Source organism: Homo sapiens, chromosome 2 (assembly GCF_000001405.40).
Source record: "Homo sapiens chromosome 2, GRCh38.p14 Primary Assembly".
Lineage (NCBI taxonomy): Eukaryota > Metazoa > Chordata > Mammalia > Primates > Hominidae > Homo > Homo sapiens.
In genome coordinates this window covers 112,421,057-112,438,809 of record NC_000002.12, presented here as the reverse complement: position 1 = coordinate 112,438,809, position 17,753 = coordinate 112,421,057, and the positions used below count along the sequence as shown (strand labels likewise).

Sequence of the window (17,753 nt, the reverse complement as noted above, 5' to 3'; positions counted from 1 at the left end):
TGTGCGTGTCTATGTATACACATGTATAATACACTAATCTGTGTTTAGCTATATTTTTTCGCTCTGTCTTCTGAGAAGCCCTAGAAGCAGTGACACCCCAGTATTTCTGGAGAAACGCCTGAGAAATTCTAGGTCTGGAGCCAGGAATACACAAAATAAGGCTGGAACATCTTGTAGCACCAGAAGGAAAAGAAAGGATGGAGGCGTGTAAGAAGGACATGTGGTGGGCTGAATAATGGCCCCCAAATATGTCCAGATCCTAATCCCCAAAACCTGTGAATATGTTACTTACATGGCAAACGGACTTTGCAAATATGGTTAAGAACCTTTAGATGGGAGATGATCCTGGATGATCTGGGGGCCCGAGGGAGTCACAATCGTCCTTATAAGAGGGATGTAGGAGGATCAGAAAGAGGAGAAAGGAATGTGAGGATGGAAACAGAGGTCAGAGTAATGTGCTTTGAAGAGGAAGAACAGGCCACGAGAAGTTGCTACCTGTAATAAAATGTCAAATAAGATCTAGAGGCTTGAGGAGAACCTGAGGTTATCTGTGGAGGGTGGAAGGCTTATGCTGAAGTGGCCCCCTGAGAGCAGAGATCAGGAGTAAGGGACGATCTCCTAGTACTCACTTGCAGAAGTGACTTAAAGCTGCTAAAAGGGTGTGTGTCAGGGCTTTGGCATTCTGCCGCAGACATAGAAAGACCTGATACTGTTTTGACTTCATGTGTCCCTGTAGCCATTCAGCGGCCAACATTTGTATAGTACTTTATCTTTCTCAGCTTATTTCTAATTAGCGATAATTAATACTCTTAGTATTAATACGAGTTAATTTGTAATTCTTACAAAAGAGTGTGAGATAAATGAGCATGTGCTGTCTTTAATTTCCAAAGGAGGAAAGCACTCTGTGCCGTCTGAGCTGCCCGCGATCCAGTCCCTAAGAGGGACCATCGGCAGGCGGCTTCCTGGCTCTTGGGGTCCGCACAGGCCTGTGGTAGCCCTGTGAGGGTCGGCTCCTGCATAGAACCCTGCCTGACTTCCCAGAGGAGGCCATGAGAACCGTCAAGAAGTTCATGGACTCAGGAGGACGTCGTCAGCAGTGCTGAGGTCATGGAATGTGGGCTGGGACCTTGTGTTTGGTGACGTTCTGTAAGTACTCGGCTTGCTCAAGCTAACTGCCCGGCTGGGATCACCGCTCTAGGAGGACTCAAGAGTTCAGATGAGTGGCCCAGGGGCCCGTCAGTGCTGTGCACCTCGCCCCCCGTGGGCGGGGGAGGAGCCTGGGGACTTGGCCAGTCCTGGAGGAGCCCTGAGACCAGGCCCTGTGGCGGGCACCACGGCACGGGGAGGTGCCTGGAGGGCTGGAGCCCACTTGGGGGGCCTTGGTCAGTCGGGGCTGCAGAAGCAGAGAAATGCGGGGTGCCCATGCTGGCTGGGACTCGCCCACTGCCCTGCACATGGCGAGTGAGGGAGAGAGGCAAGGCACCTTTCCAGGGGTGCATGGGAGGCTGCGGTCAAAGGTCCTGCACACCCGCATGCATGCTCACATCTGTAGCTACAGACACTGACCCCCAGAGACCCCCGAGCTCATGTGGGGCTGGTGTAGGCGTGGGGTGGACACTGGGGCAGTGTGGGCTCCTCCTCCTCCTCTATGCGCGTGACGGGGTGGGGGTGGCCCCTTCCCTTGCCCTGGAAGCTCCGGCCCCCTCCCCACCCTCCCTGTGGCCCCAGTAGACAGAGCCCTGGCCCCTGCCTTGGGCCAGGTTTGGCAGAGGGGGCCCTGGCTGGAAACTGGAGGCAGATGGAGGGGAGCTGGGGTTGCGGGCTGGCCGTGTCCCCTAACCCCTACACAGCCCAGCTCTGCTCCTGCTCCGCCTGGGTGTTCTGCAGGCTGGGGTGGAGGTGCTCCAGGACTACCCCACAGCCCGGGGCCACACACCCCTGGAGCGATCCCTATCTCTGTCTGCGCCCTGGCCTCCTTCCTGCCAAGACCCTGACTGAGTCAATAGGCTTGACTTTCATAAACTGGCCAACAAGATTGAGACCACACTTGGAGTGGAAGATGGGGCCGTCTTAAGCCCTTGCCCCCTGCACGGGTCAGCCTGTGGCCAACGTTCTGGGCCGAGCCTCCTCCTCTTGCTCCACGCTCTTCCCACCCTGAGAGGGGCCTGGTCTGGGTGGGTCTCCTGGGACCCCCAGTGTTCGAACATGACCTGAAAAGCAGAAATGGAGGCTGAAGCCTTGGCGAGGAGGCCAGCACTTCCCAATCTCACCTTCCACAGCTGATGTGCAGGGCCGGGGGAGTGTTGGTAATCCTCCCAGGACACACGTGTCTGCATTTAAGGGTGTGCCTGACATGAAAGGAGATTTATTCAATGATGTTTGCTAAAGACTGGAAGCGGACTACTCAGGACCAGTGCGGTGGGTGCTGGGACCAGGGCAGTGGGATTTTGCAGTGGTGGAGAGAGATTTAGGCTCCACTCTGAATATGGCTCCAGCAAGTGGGATTTGATAGCCCAGGAGCAGAGTGGGGTCCTCGGATGGAACATCACTAAGAACAAACAGCAGGGGTGGGGGGTTCTGGCTGAAGGGAGGCAGGGTCATTCGTCATCACCTGGGTGCCCGAGGACGAGCAGGCTGCCCTGACGAGGATGATCAGATACGGGGCGGGGCAGTTCTGGCTGAAGTCACTTAGCAGTGTTCTTGCTAAAACCGGATTTTGCAAGGAAGTGTGCAGGTGGCCTAGAAGGTTCAAGGGCCTGATAGAGTTTGGCCAAGCAAAGAATCTCGTCACTGAGAATTAGAATCAAGGGCAGGTGGCTAAATAGTGCCTTGTAGATTCTCTCCAGCTTTTGCGGCCCCTCCCTCCACATCCTGCTCTGGGTAGCCCCTATCCTGCAGCCATGACCCAGATTCCTGAAGAGGGGATGACTACACAGGGGCCTGGATGCTGGGTGGCGGCCTCAGGGGCGGGAGGCACCGGGAGAGGCCTGGCCGGAGAGCCCCAGGGACCCAGGTCAGGTCAGGACCCAGTGTGTAGCGGAGCTTGGGCTCATGAGGTCAGAGCTGGAGCCACTGCACATCGTCTCCCAGGGCCGGGGCTCCCAGAGGACATGCAGTGTCTGCAGTTTTCTGGGGTGCCCCCGTCCTCCGCGTGGCACTCTGCGTGTTGGGGGGCCTATTGCGAGCTGCTCATCCTGGCTTCTTGGGAGCAGCGTGGCCTGAGCAAGGGAGGCTGCCCAGGACCGGCGCCTGTGGGGCGGGGCTGGTCACAGGGTCTTGGTCCCCGAGGGCTGATTCCTGCTGAATGCTTCAATGGCCAAGGGTGGATCCCTCTCCTTCCAGCCTGAGGCTGTTTCAGGAAGAAACAGTCAGGCCCCGGCAGGTTTCCCTGCCCAAGGGGAGAGTCTGAGGAGGGGCCGACTCGGCAGGTGGAGCAGGGGGCCACTTTCATCGAGTTTGTGTTCAGAACTCACTCCAGGGTCCTTTTCTTTTGGGGCCAGGCAGGCAGCACCGTGTGGGACATTATTAGCAAGGAGAGGAGGGGCCCGGGAGAGCTCACAGGGCGTTTTGGGAGCTCCGTAGACAGGCAGGTCCTGAGGACTTTTGGAAAGGATAGAACAAGGTCCCGGGCAGCTTTGTGGTGGTCGAGAGCGAGGGAGGAGGTGGCCTCCCTGAGCGTGGATGGCTGGATGCAGGCCCCAGACCCAGGGGCAGAGGCCGAGAAGGGAAGGCGGGGGCCCAGGGACCACACTTGGCAGGGTGGAGGGGGCAGGGGGAGCCACTTGCTGGGGAAACTTCACCGGATGATCTGGGCTGAGGACGCGCGAGTGTGGAAGAAACGGCGCCTCCCCCGTGCCAGATGCTGCCCACCACCGGCACAGGGCCAGAGTTGGGGTCAGCAGGGCAGCCGTGTGCCCCCAGTGGGAGCTTGGAGGTCACGGAGGAAATGCGAGACCAGATGCAGGCAGGGGAGTCCTCCGGAGCCTGCAGGAGGGGGCCGCTGGCTCAGGGGCACCGGGAGACCCCCACATGGACAGGGTGGAAAGGGCTTTCTTCAAAGCCAGGATCTTGTCCCCATCACAGCGTCCCGCTACGCATTGGGAGCGCTTGCTGCCAGGAGGCTCCCCAGTCCCGCAGCAGCCCCTCAGCGGCTGCCCTCCAAGGAAGGGGCGCACAGACACTCCAGGGCTCCACAGCGCGCGGGCCAGGGGCCCCATCTACCCCCGGGGCAGCGGGACTGGGCGTGAGCCCGGCCTGGGACACAGCCCCTGCGACTGCACCATTGTTAGGGGCCTTCTCGGAGCTGGCAGACCTAGAACCAGGCCTAGGGGGTGGGGGTGTGCCTGGATGTGTGTTGCGGGGGTCTGAACCCTTAGTTAGGACCGGGGGCCCTCCTTTCCACTTCGTGCAGTCCCTGGGGTCTGGGGCATCCTAGCCATGCGTGGGGCCTCCCTGCTGGGATTGGAGACCCCCTGACAGCTGGGGCTGGTCCCAGCATTTTCGCTCTTCCCCCAGAAGGACTCAGATGCAGGGTCTTCTCTGCTCCCCGTCACACAGAGGGTGGCACCCCCGATGGGAACTCTCATTTATCACCAAACCAGAAGATAATGGAGAAACTGACAGAGAAGGGCTGCAAGCAGCTACCGCAGGGCGGTGTGTGGATGCAGATGGGATGGGCAGATGGAGGCGGGGGCCAGCATCGCTGCCTTCTTGCCCCTCCCAGAGGACCCCAGGTCCCCAGCTCGGGCGCCCCACCAGACTGGTAACACCTGCGTCTGCTGTTTGGCACCGGGGGATGAATCACTTGCTTTTCTTTCAACAGTGTTCTGTAGTTTCCAGTCTACAAGTCTTACACTTTTGGGTTAAATTTATTCATAATTATTTTATTATTTTTGATAATATTATAAATGGAATTGTTTACTTAATTTTACTTGAATTGTTCCTTGCTGGTGTATAAGTAGACATCTCATTTTTTTTAGTTGACCTCGTATGGTACAATCTCTTTGAACTCATTTATTATCACTGATGGTTTGTCTTTTTTTTTTTTTTTTTGAGCTTTCATTAAGGTTTTCTATAGATAAGATCATGTCAAGACACCCTCAGACCACAGGGCGGCGCCACCAGCCCGGCCGAGTGCAGCTGGAGCGCCGACGTCCCCGAGGATACACAGTGCTGAGGCAGAACGCAGGTTCGTCACAGTGGGCCTCCGTGGGCGGCGCCGCACGCTCGTCACAGTGGGCCTCCGCCGGCTACGCCGCTGCTTCAGTGGCTTGCAGGCACTTTCCTCTTGGAAGTGGCGACTGCTGCGGGGCTGAGCGGTGCTCGCACGCGTCTCGGGAGCCAGGTTGGCGGCGCGATGAGGCGCAGCAAGGCCGATGTGGAGCGGTACGTCGCCTCGGTGCTGGGTCTCACCCCGTCGCCTCGACAGGTGAGTGGGTCTGGAAGAGAGCGGCGGCCTCGACCCGGCCGGGCGGCGGCGGCCTCGACCCGGCCCGGCGGCGGCCTCGATGGGTCAGGGGTCATGGCTCCCGACGGGCGCTGCTCCCTGGCGCGCTCTGTTGAGGCGGCGGCCTCCACCCGGCCCGGCGGCGGCCTCGATGGGTCAGGGGTCATGGCTCCCGACGGGCGCTGCTCCCTGGCGCGCTCTGTTGAGGCGGCGGCCTCGACCCGGCCCGGCGGCGGCCTCGATGGGTCAGGGGTCATGGCTCCCGAGGGCGCTGCTCCCTGGCGCGCTCTGTTGAGGCGGCGGCCTCGACCCGGCCCGGGGGCGGCCTCGATGGGTCAGGGGTCATGGCTCCCGAGGGCGCTGCTCCCTGGCGCGCTCTGTTGAGGCGGCGGCCTCGACCCGGCCCGGCGGCGGCCTCGATGGGTCAGGGGTCATGGCTCCCGAGGGCGCTGCTCCCTGGCGCGCTCTGTTGAGGCGGAGGCCGGCTAGCGCAGTCCTGTGGGCGGCGTGGCGCTTGCAAGCGCAGGAAGAGTCCTGGGGGGACCGCGGCGGGCGGGAGACCTTTGGCGCCGGCTCTTCCTCTTTCTCCCGGTTTGTTCCCGACGGTGCTCGCTCGTGGGCTCGCCCTGGCCCGGGCTTTCTGGCCCCGTAGTACCCGCGCGGCCTAGTTCTCGGGGGCTTGGGCACCCGGGTGCTGTATCGGCGGGTTTCTTCCCATGTCCTGGACATTTACTTTATATGCCGCGGCGGAGGTCGTACCTCCTTGGCCTGGAGGAACCCAGTGGGGACTGACGCAGCTCCGGGTGAGCTTTGGCGGCTGCGTCGAGTGACAAGGTAGGCATCTCAGCGTGGACATTTGCAATGGCCCGATGGCACAAATGACACGGAAAGTCCCCTTGTTTTGAGTATGAGGTGTTTGTCGCTGTCCCTTTGTAAGGGTCCAGCTCCACTCCACTCCTCATACTCACCTCCCTCGCCCCCCTCCCCGCCCGGAACACTTTGGTAGCTGCCTTTGCTTAAAAAAAAAAAATTCTAAAGTTCTTACAAATCGTTAGTATGGCTTACAATTTTTAACCTTTTCCACAAGTGTTTTTAGGGTATTTTTCCTCTTTACAGGTAAATAATGTGATCTATTTTGGATTCAATAAGACTTTAGTCATTGGATCTAAAGAGTGACGGAAGAAGCTATTAAAGGTGGATGTGCGCAGAATCTTGAGTCAGTTTGCTTTGGCTTGAATAATCACAGCACTGTCGTTTATAAGCTGGGTATTTGGGGCCACTTACACTTTTCATCCATAGATGGAGTTGTAACATTGATAGAATTTGATAGGATGATCCATTTTAAACATTTAGGTTATTGCTTGACACATAGCACTAAATGTTAGCTACAAGTCACTTTTTATTGTTGATGTTAAAAGGATATTGGCCGGGCGCAGTGGCTCACGCCTGTAATCCCACCACTTTGGGAGGCCGAGGAGGGCGGATTGCCTGAGGTCAGGAGTTCGAGACCAGCCTGGCTAACATGTTGAAACCTTGTCTCTACTAAAAATACAAATAAAGTTAGCCGGACGTGGTGGCGCACGCCTGTAGTCCCAGCTACCTGGGAGGCTGAGGCAGGAGAGTCGCTTGAACCCGGGAGGCGGAGGTTCTAGTGAGCCGAGATCGCGCTACTGCACTCCAGCCTGGGCGACAGAGGGAGACTCCAGAAAAAAAAAAAAAAAACCAGAAACTCACGGATGACCATGATTATAATAGTAGCATAATTGTGTCTCTTATCATAACTAAGCATAGGTTATCTTATTTTGCGCTTCCAGCAACCCTGTGGATATTGAGACCTGTAGAGATTTAAGATACTTGTTCAGGGTCAAATGGGTAGTGCAGCAGAATTTTGGCAGTGGGTCTGATTTAGTTTCTCTTGGGAACAGTGCAGTAAGTTACAGTCTATTCCTCCAGAGAAGGATAGATATCTACTTGTACGTTGTAATTTCAAACTGCTAGCATAGTATAAATATGAATGTGATGGTAAGAGTCTAAAACAGACCTTAATTGAGGGTTCCTGTAACTCCTGAAATTAAAGACTTTAATTTTTGTGTTATTTTATTTTTTTTGAGGTGGGGTCTCACTCTGTCACCCAGCTGGATGCAGTGGCACTATCTCGACTCACTGCAGCTTCCGCCTCCCCAGCTCAAGCGATCCTCCCACCTCAGTCTCCCGAGTAGTTGGGACCACAGGTGTACCCACCACACCCGCTGTTTTGTTTTGTTTTGTATTTTTGGTAGAGACTGGGTTTCACCATGTTGCCCAGGCTGTTCTTGAACTCCTGGGCTCAAGTGATTTCCCCGCCTCCACTTCCCAAAGTGTTGGGATTATAGGCGTGAGCCACTGCACCGGCCATTATTTTGTTTTTGAGACAAGGTCTCTTTCTGTCTCCCAGGCTGGAGTGCTGTGGCGGGATCGTGGCTCACTGCAGCGTTGACGTCCTGGGCTCAATCCGTCCTCCCACCTTAGCCTCCTGGGTAGCTGAGACTACAGGCATGCGCCACCATGCCCGGCTTTTTTCTTTAATGTAGAGACGGGGTCTTACCATGTTACCCAGGCTGGTCTCCAACTCCTGGGCTCAAGTGATCCTCCCGCCTTGGCCCCAAGTGCTGAGATTACAGGTGTGAGCCACTCTGCTCAGCCTGATTTTTTTTTTAAACAAGCTTAAAAAAAAAAAAAAGCAACCTTAGAGCCTTTCTGAGATTCTTAGTGGGGACCTTGGCTTCCAAAAGATTAAAAACCACTGGTCTAGACAGAAGTCAGAATGTTCTTTCAACTACATAACTTCTCCATTAAATAAAGTGGAGTGGTAGCAACATTTTGACGATTGGTTATTATGACCACCTCTCTTACACTTAGAGTCTTTTTTTCCCCCCCAAATTTAAAGTCATTTACATTAGAACCTGGGGATTTCAGCGGAATATGGATTAACTAGTGAGTAACTGGAACATGTGAAGCTATTCTGTAAAGTTAGGTTTGAGTGAAATGACAAAACAGGGTGCTTTGGATAGAAGGTAAAGAATGGAGGGAGAAGAGGCAGTGGCTGTGAAGAATATGAAGAGGTTAGTATTCTCCCCCAGTTTGGCAGAGGCTGGCCATCTGTGAACTGCCCATGCCTTCTAGAATGTCGGAGTTTTGGTGTGTGATGATGCGTCTGTATATCATATCTTTCTAGTCTTCCATTGTGCTTTCATTTGTTAGTCTTCTCTTGTTTTGCCATTTTTCTACTCCCTCACATGTGCTTTTGCCCTTCTTAAAAATATTCTTCGTCTGTAATCCGAGCACTTTGGGAGGCCGAGAGACCAGCCTGACCAATATGGTGAAAATCTGTCTCTATTAAAAATACAAAAATGAGCCGGGCGTGGTGGCAGCGCCTGTAGTCCCACCTACTCGGTAGGCTGAGACAGGAGAATTGCTTGAACCCTGGAGGCAGAGGTTGTGGTGAGCAGAGATTGCGCCACTGCACTCCAGCCTGTGTGACAGAGCGAGACTCTGTCTCCAAAAAAGAAAAAAGGAAAAAAATATAATTCTTTCTCTAGTTTTTCTTTTTCCCGATGGCTTCTGTTTAGTTTTTCTATGTTCTGTCAAGTCGATTTCTTATTCTGCAGCTGATTCCTACTTCTCAAAGTCTACTTGACAGCTCTTATTTTTATTTATTTGTTTTTTAGAATAGGGTCTTGCTGTGTTGCTCATCAAATTTTTGGGCGTAAATGATCCTCCTACCTCTGTTTCCTGAGTACTTAGGACTACAGGCAGGCACCTTTGACAGCTGTTAGTTGTTTTTTCTGCCCTTTACATCTATACTTCATACTTCTGAGTAACACACATATATACTTTTGTTATTTTTAATTCCCTTTCTCCCATTTTAGACATTTTCTTTTCTTTTCTTTTTTTTTTTTTTTTTTTTTTGAGACGGAGTCTGGCTCTATCGTCCAGGCTGGAGTGCAGTGTCGCGATCTCGGCTCACTGCAAACTCTGCCTCCGGGGTTCACGCCATTCTCCTGCCCCAGCCTGTAGCTGGGACTACAGGCACCCGCCACAACACTCGGCTAATTTTTTAGCATTTTTAGTAGAGACGGAGTTTCACCGTGTTAGCCAGGATAGTCTCAATCTCCTGACCTCATGATCCGCCCGCCTCAGCCTCCCAAAGTGCTGGGATTACAGGCGTGAGCCACCGCGCCCGGCCCCATTTTAGACATTCTGTACTGGCTATTATGCTCCTCCAAAACTGTCCTCAGACACTTTGGTTTGCCCCTCATTCTTTCAGTACTGTTACTGCAGTTTTTGTTTAAATGAATAGTTAACATTTATATAAATAGAAGGTAAATATTTTTGCATTTGAATTGCCCTTGTTGTGCAGTTTTTTGTTGTTTTTTTTATTATACTTTAAGTTTTAGGGTACATGTGCACATTGTGCAGGTTAGTTACATATGTATACATGTGCCATGCTGGTGTGCTGCACCCACGTTTTCCTGGACTGAATAATTGCTTTATTTTTTGGTTTGCTTGTATGTTGTGTTACTACTTGCTTACTTAAACTCAGCAATTTAAACCCTCAAATGTGGTCAAACTGGTCACATAATCCCATCAATTTCAGCTTAAAACATTGATTGATTGATTGATTGTCTGTCTACCTGGAATACCCTTACTAACCAACTTCTCCAACCCGGATTGGTTTTTCTTCCTCTTTGCTACACAGCTGTGCTCTTGGGACTTCCCTTTATCACCAGTTTGAGAATTCCCTTCATCTTTTTTCTGAGTTAGACCCTTTGTTTCTTGTATCTCATGTCCTCTTCATTTACTTTCTTTGTTTTGGTGTAGCATAGTCTCACTTGCTTTGAGGAAAAGTGGATGAGAGGTTTTTTTGTTTGTTTTTGTTATGGGACAGAGTCTTGCTCTGTTGCCCAGGCTGGAGTGCAGTGGCATGGTCTCAGCTCACCGCAACCTCCGCCTCCCAGGTTCAAGTGATTCTCCTGCCTCAGCCTCCCGAGTAGCGGGATTACAGGTGTGCGCCACCATGCCCGGCTAATTTTTTCTATTTTTAGTAGAGATGGGATTTCACCATACTGGTCAGGCTGGTCTAGAAACTAATGGTATGTCTTTAAAACATCTTTACTTAATTTAGTTGATCATTTGGTTATCGAATTCTGAGTTTCAAATAATTTTTTTTGCAATTTTGAAAGCATTGCTCCATTTTCTAGAAGTTCTGTTGTTAGGAGTCCCATGAGATTCTTGTTCTTGGTAACTTAAAGGTTTTCTGGAAGTGTCCTTTCAATTGGGAAACTCATTTCTTTCAGTTCTGTAGCATTTCTTGTATTATTTCTTTGACCATTTCTTACCCTTTTTTTTAATGATGTTTACCTGAAAGCTGGAGTTTCTCTAATTTTTCTCTTATTCTCCTCTTTTGTTTGTTCTGCCTTTTGAGAGATTTCCTTACCCTTATGTTCCAGGGGAAGAAGATTGGGGAACTCATGGTTCAGTATCTAGACTTTTCCTCATTGTCCTGTATAATCACGGCCTTCACCCTTGTTGGGACTCCACAGATTTGGAGCTGATCAGATGGGTTTGTTGAGAACAGCAGCTTTTTTGGAGGATTTTAGGGGGAGGGAGATTCATTTGACTGTGCAAGATGGGCGACAGGGTGAGACTCCGTTTGAATTAAAAAAAAAAGAGAGAAATTTAGAACTGCATAATGAAAAAGTAGGCCACAAATATTAAGTTTTGGACAATTACAATTACATCTCTATCTTACTGTGCAAGATAGCGATGATGTGGCATCTCTTAGGGTCTTACTGTTCCTGTTTTCAGCCCTGCATCAGTTCTTGATATTTGGCAGCTTAAGTGAATTCAGGTATTTGCTTATAGTGACATCTGCTGTCATGTAAAGAAGTACTGCTTGCATCAGATATTGTCCTGTTTACATAACATGGGCTGTGCTCCTTTCTAGCTGTATATCTTTAAACAAGGCATTTGTCTGCTTGAGCTTCAGTTCCCTTGTAAAGTGAGCAGGTTAGAGGCAAAAGATCATATAGAAGAATAATTTGTAAAGTTGTTTAATTATCTTAAGATTGTCTACTTTAATAACATAGTTGGAAGCAAAGAAGGTAATGGAATTATTTTTCTATTATGTTTTAACATAGTTGGAAGCAAAGAAGGTAATGGAATTATTTTTCTATTATGTTTTGGCATTGTACCTTGAATCTATTTCTTCATTTTGAAAAGGGGGAACTGGCCGGGCTCGGTGGCTGATGCCTGTAATCCCAGCACTTTGGGAGGCGGAAGAAGTCAGATCACAAGGTCGAGAGATCGACACCATCTTGGCCAACATGGTGAAACCCCATCTCTACTGAAAATACAAAAATTAGCTGGGCATGGTGGCGTGCGCCTGTAGTCCCAGCTTGTACCCGGGACGCAGAGGTTGCAGTGAGCTGAGATCGAGCCACCGCACTCCAGCCTGGCGACAGAGCAAGACTCCATCTCAAAAAAAAAAAAAAAAAGGAAGGGGGGAACAGGACTTGTTCCTTTATGTGCTGTCCTGACTGTTGTGTATTATTTTTGTTAAGATTGCTATAGTTCTTTTTTTTTTTGAGACGGAGTCTTGCTCTGTCGCCAGTGCTGGGATTGCAGGTGTTAGCCTGGCATTGAGCAAGGTTTTGTAATTTAAGCATACAAGTCTCTCACCTCCTTGTTTACATTTATTCCCAGGCATTTTTTTCTTTTAGATGCGATTGTAAATGGAATTGCTTTCTTAATTTCATTTTCTGATTGTTCGTTGCTGGTACAGTAGTCCCTTCTTATCCACAGTATTGCCTTACGTGGTTTTACTTACCTGCGTCACCCGTGGTCCAAAAATATTGAATGGAAGATTATATAAATAAACATTTCATGAGTTTTAAATTGCAAACAGGTCTGAATAACATGATAAAAATCTCACGGCCTCCTGCTCCGTCCTACCCAGGACACGAATCATCCCTTTGTCCAACATATTCATGCTGTATGTGCTCCCCACCCGCTAGTTACATACTAGCCACCTCAGTTATCAGATCAGTTGTTGGAGTATTGCAGTGCTTGTGTTCAAGTGACCTTTATTTTATTTAAAATGGCACCAAAGAGCAAGAATAGCGATGCTGGCAGTTCACATATGCCAGAGAGAAGCCATATAGTGCTTCCTTTAAGTGAAGAGGTGAGTTTTTGACTTAGGAAAGAAAAAAGATCATATACTGGGGTTGCTGAGATCTATGGTAAGAACAAATCTTTTGTCCATGAAATTGTGAAGAAGGAAAAAGAAATTTGTGCTAGTTTTGTTGTGACACCCCAAACTGCAAAAGTTACAGCCACAGTGTGTGATAAGTGCTTAGTTGAGATGGACAAGACATTAAATTTGTGGGTGGAGGACACAAACAGGAAACATGTTTCGATTGATGGCAACCTGGTTTGGTACTATTCATCGTTTTGGACATTCACTGGGGTCTTGGAATTTCAAAAATAAGATGTTTGAGTAGCTGTATACTCTATCACATGGATGGAACATACTCTGGTTGTATCAGCATTTTTTTTTTTTTTTTTTTGAGATGGAATCATTCTGTTGCCCAGGTTGGAGTTCAGTGGTGCGATCTTGGCCCACTGCAGCCTCTGCCTCCCGGGTTCAAGTGATTCTTTGCCTCAGCCTCCCAAGCAGCGGGGATTACAGGCGTGTGCCACCATGCCCAGCTAATTTTTGTATTTTTAGTAGAAAGGAGGTTTCTGTATGTTGGCCAGGCTGGTCTCGAACTCTTGGCTTCAAGTGATCCACCCGCCTCAGTCTCCGAAAGTGCTGGGATTACAGGTGTGAGCCACCGCACCCAGCCTGGTGTGCATCAGCATTTTGGACTTTGGAGTTTATGTAACCAAGGATCCAGGCTGTGGACCTCGTTTATTACTTGAAGAATTCAATATTTATTTCTGCCTTTTTGACTCCTTGACTGTAAAATACTGATCTGATCTGTAGAGAGAACAGTACATGGACCCGGGAATCCTCAGTGCCTTAATAGATCCTAAGTACTTATTTATTCTTTCCCATAGAGGCTTACACATGGTAGGAGAAGAGATTTCTGGAATACCTTTCCTCCCCAAAGAAAGCTGGTTTCTTTTGTTTGTTAAGTGAGAGAGTGGTACCACAGGGTTTCCGAGATTTCCAAGGCTGATGAAAATTCTTAACTTCTGTTGTCTGCTTGTCTTGCTTTCTTGAATTTATTTTTTGTATGTTATGTATTTATTATTTAGAGAGAGGATCTCCCTGTGTCACCCAGGCTGGAGTGCAGTGTCACAGTCATAACTCACGGCAGTGTCAACCTCCTGGGCTCAAGTGATTCTCCTTCCTTGGCCTCCTGAGTAGCTAGGAACACAGGCATGCTCCACTATGCCTGGCTATTTTTTTCCCCCTGGAGACAGGATCTTGTTGTGTTGCACAGGCTGGTTTCAAACTCTTGGCCTCAAAGCTAGCCTCCCACCTTGGTCTCTGAAAGTGCTAGAATTAAATAGAATTAAAGGTGTGACCAACTGCACCCAGCTTATTTATGATGATGATGATGATGATGATGATGATGATGTTTGGGAGATGGAGTCTCTGTCGCCCAGGCTGGAGTGCAATGGCACGATCTCAGCTGACTGCAACCTCTGGCTCACTGCAACCTCCACCTCCTGGGTTCAACTGATTTTTGTGCCTTAGCCTCCTGAGTAGCTGGGATTACAGGCACCCGCCATCATGCCTGGCTAATTTTTCTATTTTTGTAGAGACGGGGTTTCACCATGTTAGCCAGGCTGGTCTCAAACTCCTGACCTCAGGTGATCCGCCCACTTCGGCCTCCCAAAGTGCTGGGATTACAGGCATGAGCCGCTGCACCCAGCTCTATTTTTTGTTTTGTGGTAGGAAATTATAAAACATGGAATTATGCATTTGTCAGGCTTTAACTACTTTTGAAAAAATGTTGGAAAATATTTCTGTATGAAACATAAAACAACTTTTAATTTTTTTTTAGAAGTCAATGAAAGGATTCTATTTTGCAAAGCTGTATTATGAAGCTAAAGAATATGATCTTGCTAAAAAGTAAGTACAAACCGTAACATGTATTCTTTTTTTTAAAATCAATGCCTTTTCTCATTTTCTTCTTTGAAATAGGTAAAAATATGTTCTTAGTAGTTCTTCCTAAGTGTATTCTGGAATAAGGGATTTATCACTCAGACTGATGCTAAGGACCAGCCTAGATTCCATTGAGATTGAAACTGCAATTAGTGTTTTCTGCATGCTGCTGCTTTATACCAAGGGCAAGAAATTGTTTGGCTTAAAACACTTTTTCTAAAAATTGTCTTCTGTTGGAGTAAAAGAGGACCATGCCTATATCTTAATTTGTTTTTGGTTAGATATCTGATACCTTAATCAGATGGAAAATAGCAATGAATAAAAAACTAAACTGTAATTGTAAGGCAGGAGAATAGCTTGTATAAAAGATCTTTAATTGACACAATATGTGATGCTGTAAGGCTCTATCCTAGGGATAAGAAGCTTGGTGATTCTGATTTCCTGGCTGGGAGTGGATTAAAGCAGGAAATTAAGAGGGAGGCAGGCTTTTTTTTTTTTTTAGGCAGTATCTGTCTCTCTTGCTCCGGCTGGAGTGCAGCAGCTGGCTCCATCTTTGCTCACTGTAACCTCTGCCTTCTGGGCTCAAGCGATCTTCCCACCTCAGCGCCCCAAGTAGCTGGGGATACAGATGCGCACCACCACGTGGACCTGGCTAAGGTTTGCATTTTTTGGTAGAGACAGGTGTCACTATGTTGCCCAGGCTAGTCTTGAACTTCTGAGCACAGCAGTCTGCCTGCCTCGGCCTCCCATAGTGTTGGGACTACAGGTGTGTGTTACTGCTCCCAGCTGGGAGGCAGGCTTTTAAAGGCATCCAAAGGAAGATGGAAATGCTGGTAAGAAAGGAAAATGGTGGTACATAAATTATGTAACTAGCAGCACTGTGACTGTTAACTCTTGTACCTTTTTACTGTGAGACTTTAATCCCTTAGTTTAGGTCTGGCCTAATTTCTCTGATCGTAATACTGTCAAGGAACCTAGAGGATATTTACTTATTTTAGTTGTTACTTGATTTGAGAAATGGAAATTTCCTGTATTTGGTACTGTAATTAGTAATTTTTCTTCTGTTCGATTTTAGCTGGATATAGTACTGTTAGAAATTACTTTCTTGCTTAAAGGGTAAATGTATTTCCCTTTGTTGTTTGGGAAATTGTTGCTGTTTAGTATTTTGCATTATGATAACTTTAAAAATGTTTATTATAATCACTTCTAATTTATTGGCAAAACTGTTAGTGCTTTATTAAAATGTGATCAGGAAGAAAAAGCAATCTATATGTTCATTTCTTATGTGTGGTTAACACTGGAGAAAAATTTGGTAAATGTGACATTTAATGGTAAAATGAGTATGTGGTCAACTCTATGTACGTGTTTTTAAGTATTACCCATTTCTTTCTATGAATACTTTTGAGTTATCTGCATAAATAGTGGTAGTTTTGAGTAACAATATAAACGAGTTTAGTGGTTGCTTTGGTTTAAGATGTATTCTTCGGTTAGCATTTAAAAGTACAGTTCTAAGTTTAATTTACTTTTGTATTACTTTTAAAAAACAGATACATATGTACTTACATTAATGTGCAAGAGAGGGATCCCAAAGCTCACAGATTTCTGGGTCTTCTTTATGAATTGGAAGAAAACACAGAGAAAGCCGTTGAATGTTACAGGGTAAGTTATAGGATTCAAATATAGCCTTTGCATAGCCAAACACATGATGCCCAGAGAAATTTATATAAGTAAGTCAAATATATTTTATAAATATCATAAAACAGGCATTGGTATCATAGTACAATTATGTGACACAGCTTGGAACAGATTTAGAATTGTTTAACACCTATAAATTGTAAGTCTAACACGGTCAGAAATGGTGTTCTTTTGTGTTTTTTGCATTCAAATGACACAAATATAATTTTTATTTGATTCATTTCTAGAAAATTCCAAGACACTTTTATTTTAACACCTTTAAAGTAACATGTTTTCTCTAGAAGTAGAATTTTTTAAGGGTTGGAGTGATAATTTTTAACCTTTATGTATAAGTATATATACTCCTACATACATACATACAATTTATTTACTAATCTTTAATTTCTTTTCTGATATTAGCGTTCAGTGGAATTAAACCCAACACAAAAAGATCTTGTGTTGAAGATTGCAGAATTGCTTTGTAAAAATGATGTTACTGATGGAAGAGCAAAATACTGGGTCGAAAGAGCAGCAAAACTTTTCCCAGGAAGTCCTGCAATTTATAAACTAAAGGTAAACAAACAAAACATAAAGGGAGAAAACTTAAGACATAACCATTTCTAATATTTGGAGTTTAAATTACTTTTCAATAGCAAACCTTAAGCTCAGGTGTTTGTGTTTCCTTTAACATTTTTCTTTTAAAAAGTGTATTAAAACCTTTCTGAGCATCTACTGTCTTATTAGGCATTGTTATACTTTATAAGTGACATCTCATTTACCCTTCTGGAATAATTAATATTTTAGGGATTTTACAGTTTAGTAGCTGTAAACTAAGTAGAGCTAAGATTTACATTAAGTTCTGTCTGATATACAATTTTTGCTTCATTAAGTGAAAATTACCTACAGGATGACAATTTAGGGATATTTTAAAGAAGAGTTTTCTGATAACTATTGTCTGAAAGTAGAAGGGATTGTATTTTGAGATAGTAAGGTTTTCAAGCAAAAGATAAAAGGTGGTTTCTGTAGTATATAAGACGTAATTACTAAAAATGGTAGGAAGTTCTTGCTAGTGTGTTGACTGGTCCTGATATTCTTTATAGAGTAAAATATAGTTTACTAAGTAACTGTTCTGGAGAAATCTACACAAATATGTTTGGCAAACATTTAAAATGTATATTGTAATGTTTTATATATTAATGTATACTTTATTGTGTGTGTACAATATAAAATTATAAATGTATATTTGCCTTTAGCTTCCTCCTACCCCCATCATATATGTTTCTGATAGAAATTTAAAAAATTTTAATTTTGAAATAATTATAGATTTTTTTGCACAGGAAGTTGCAAAGTTTGCACAGAAAGATCCTATATGCTACTTCATTTTTCCCCAATGCTTATACAGGTTGAGCATTTAAAATCCGAAATCCTAAATGCTCCAAAATCTGAAATTTTTTGAGCACTGACATGATGCTCAAA

The 17,753-nt window shown here is 47.0% G+C and overlaps 1 protein-coding gene across 6 annotated transcripts in view, besides 1 other annotated feature; it reads left to right on the top strand.

Moving 5' to 3' along the window:
- Positions 3,599–4,577: an enhancer, noted in NCBI's record as "H3K27ac-H3K4me1 hESC enhancer chr2:113191810-113192788 (GRCh37/hg19 assembly coordinates)". NCBI's record gives its function as "activates a minimal SCP1, AML or CMV promoter by ChIP-STARR-seq in primed H9 embryonic stem cells {active_cell/tissue: H9 hESC(primed)}" and the evidence as "EXISTENCE:reporter gene assay evidence [ECO:0000049][PMID:30033119]".
- Positions 5,165–17,753, top strand: part of RGPD8 (RANBP2 like and GRIP domain containing 8) — a 65,277-nt gene continuing 52,688 nt past the window's right edge. For 5 of the 6 annotated variants that reach the window (NM_001164463.1, XM_005263747.6, XM_011511733.3 and 2 more), the window contains exons 1-4: positions 5,165–5,428; positions 14,503–14,570; positions 16,151–16,262; positions 16,698–16,850. In NM_001164463.1, the coding sequence (NP_001157935.1) occupies positions 5,357–5,428; positions 14,503–14,570; positions 16,151–16,262; positions 16,698–16,850 (405 nt within the window). In that variant the 5' untranslated portion in view covers positions 5,165–5,356. Of the gene's footprint in view, positions 5,429–6,259; positions 6,281–14,502; positions 14,571–16,150; positions 16,263–16,697; positions 16,851–17,753 lie in introns of those variants that run through there. The other variant, XM_024453101.2, reaches the window with a different exon arrangement.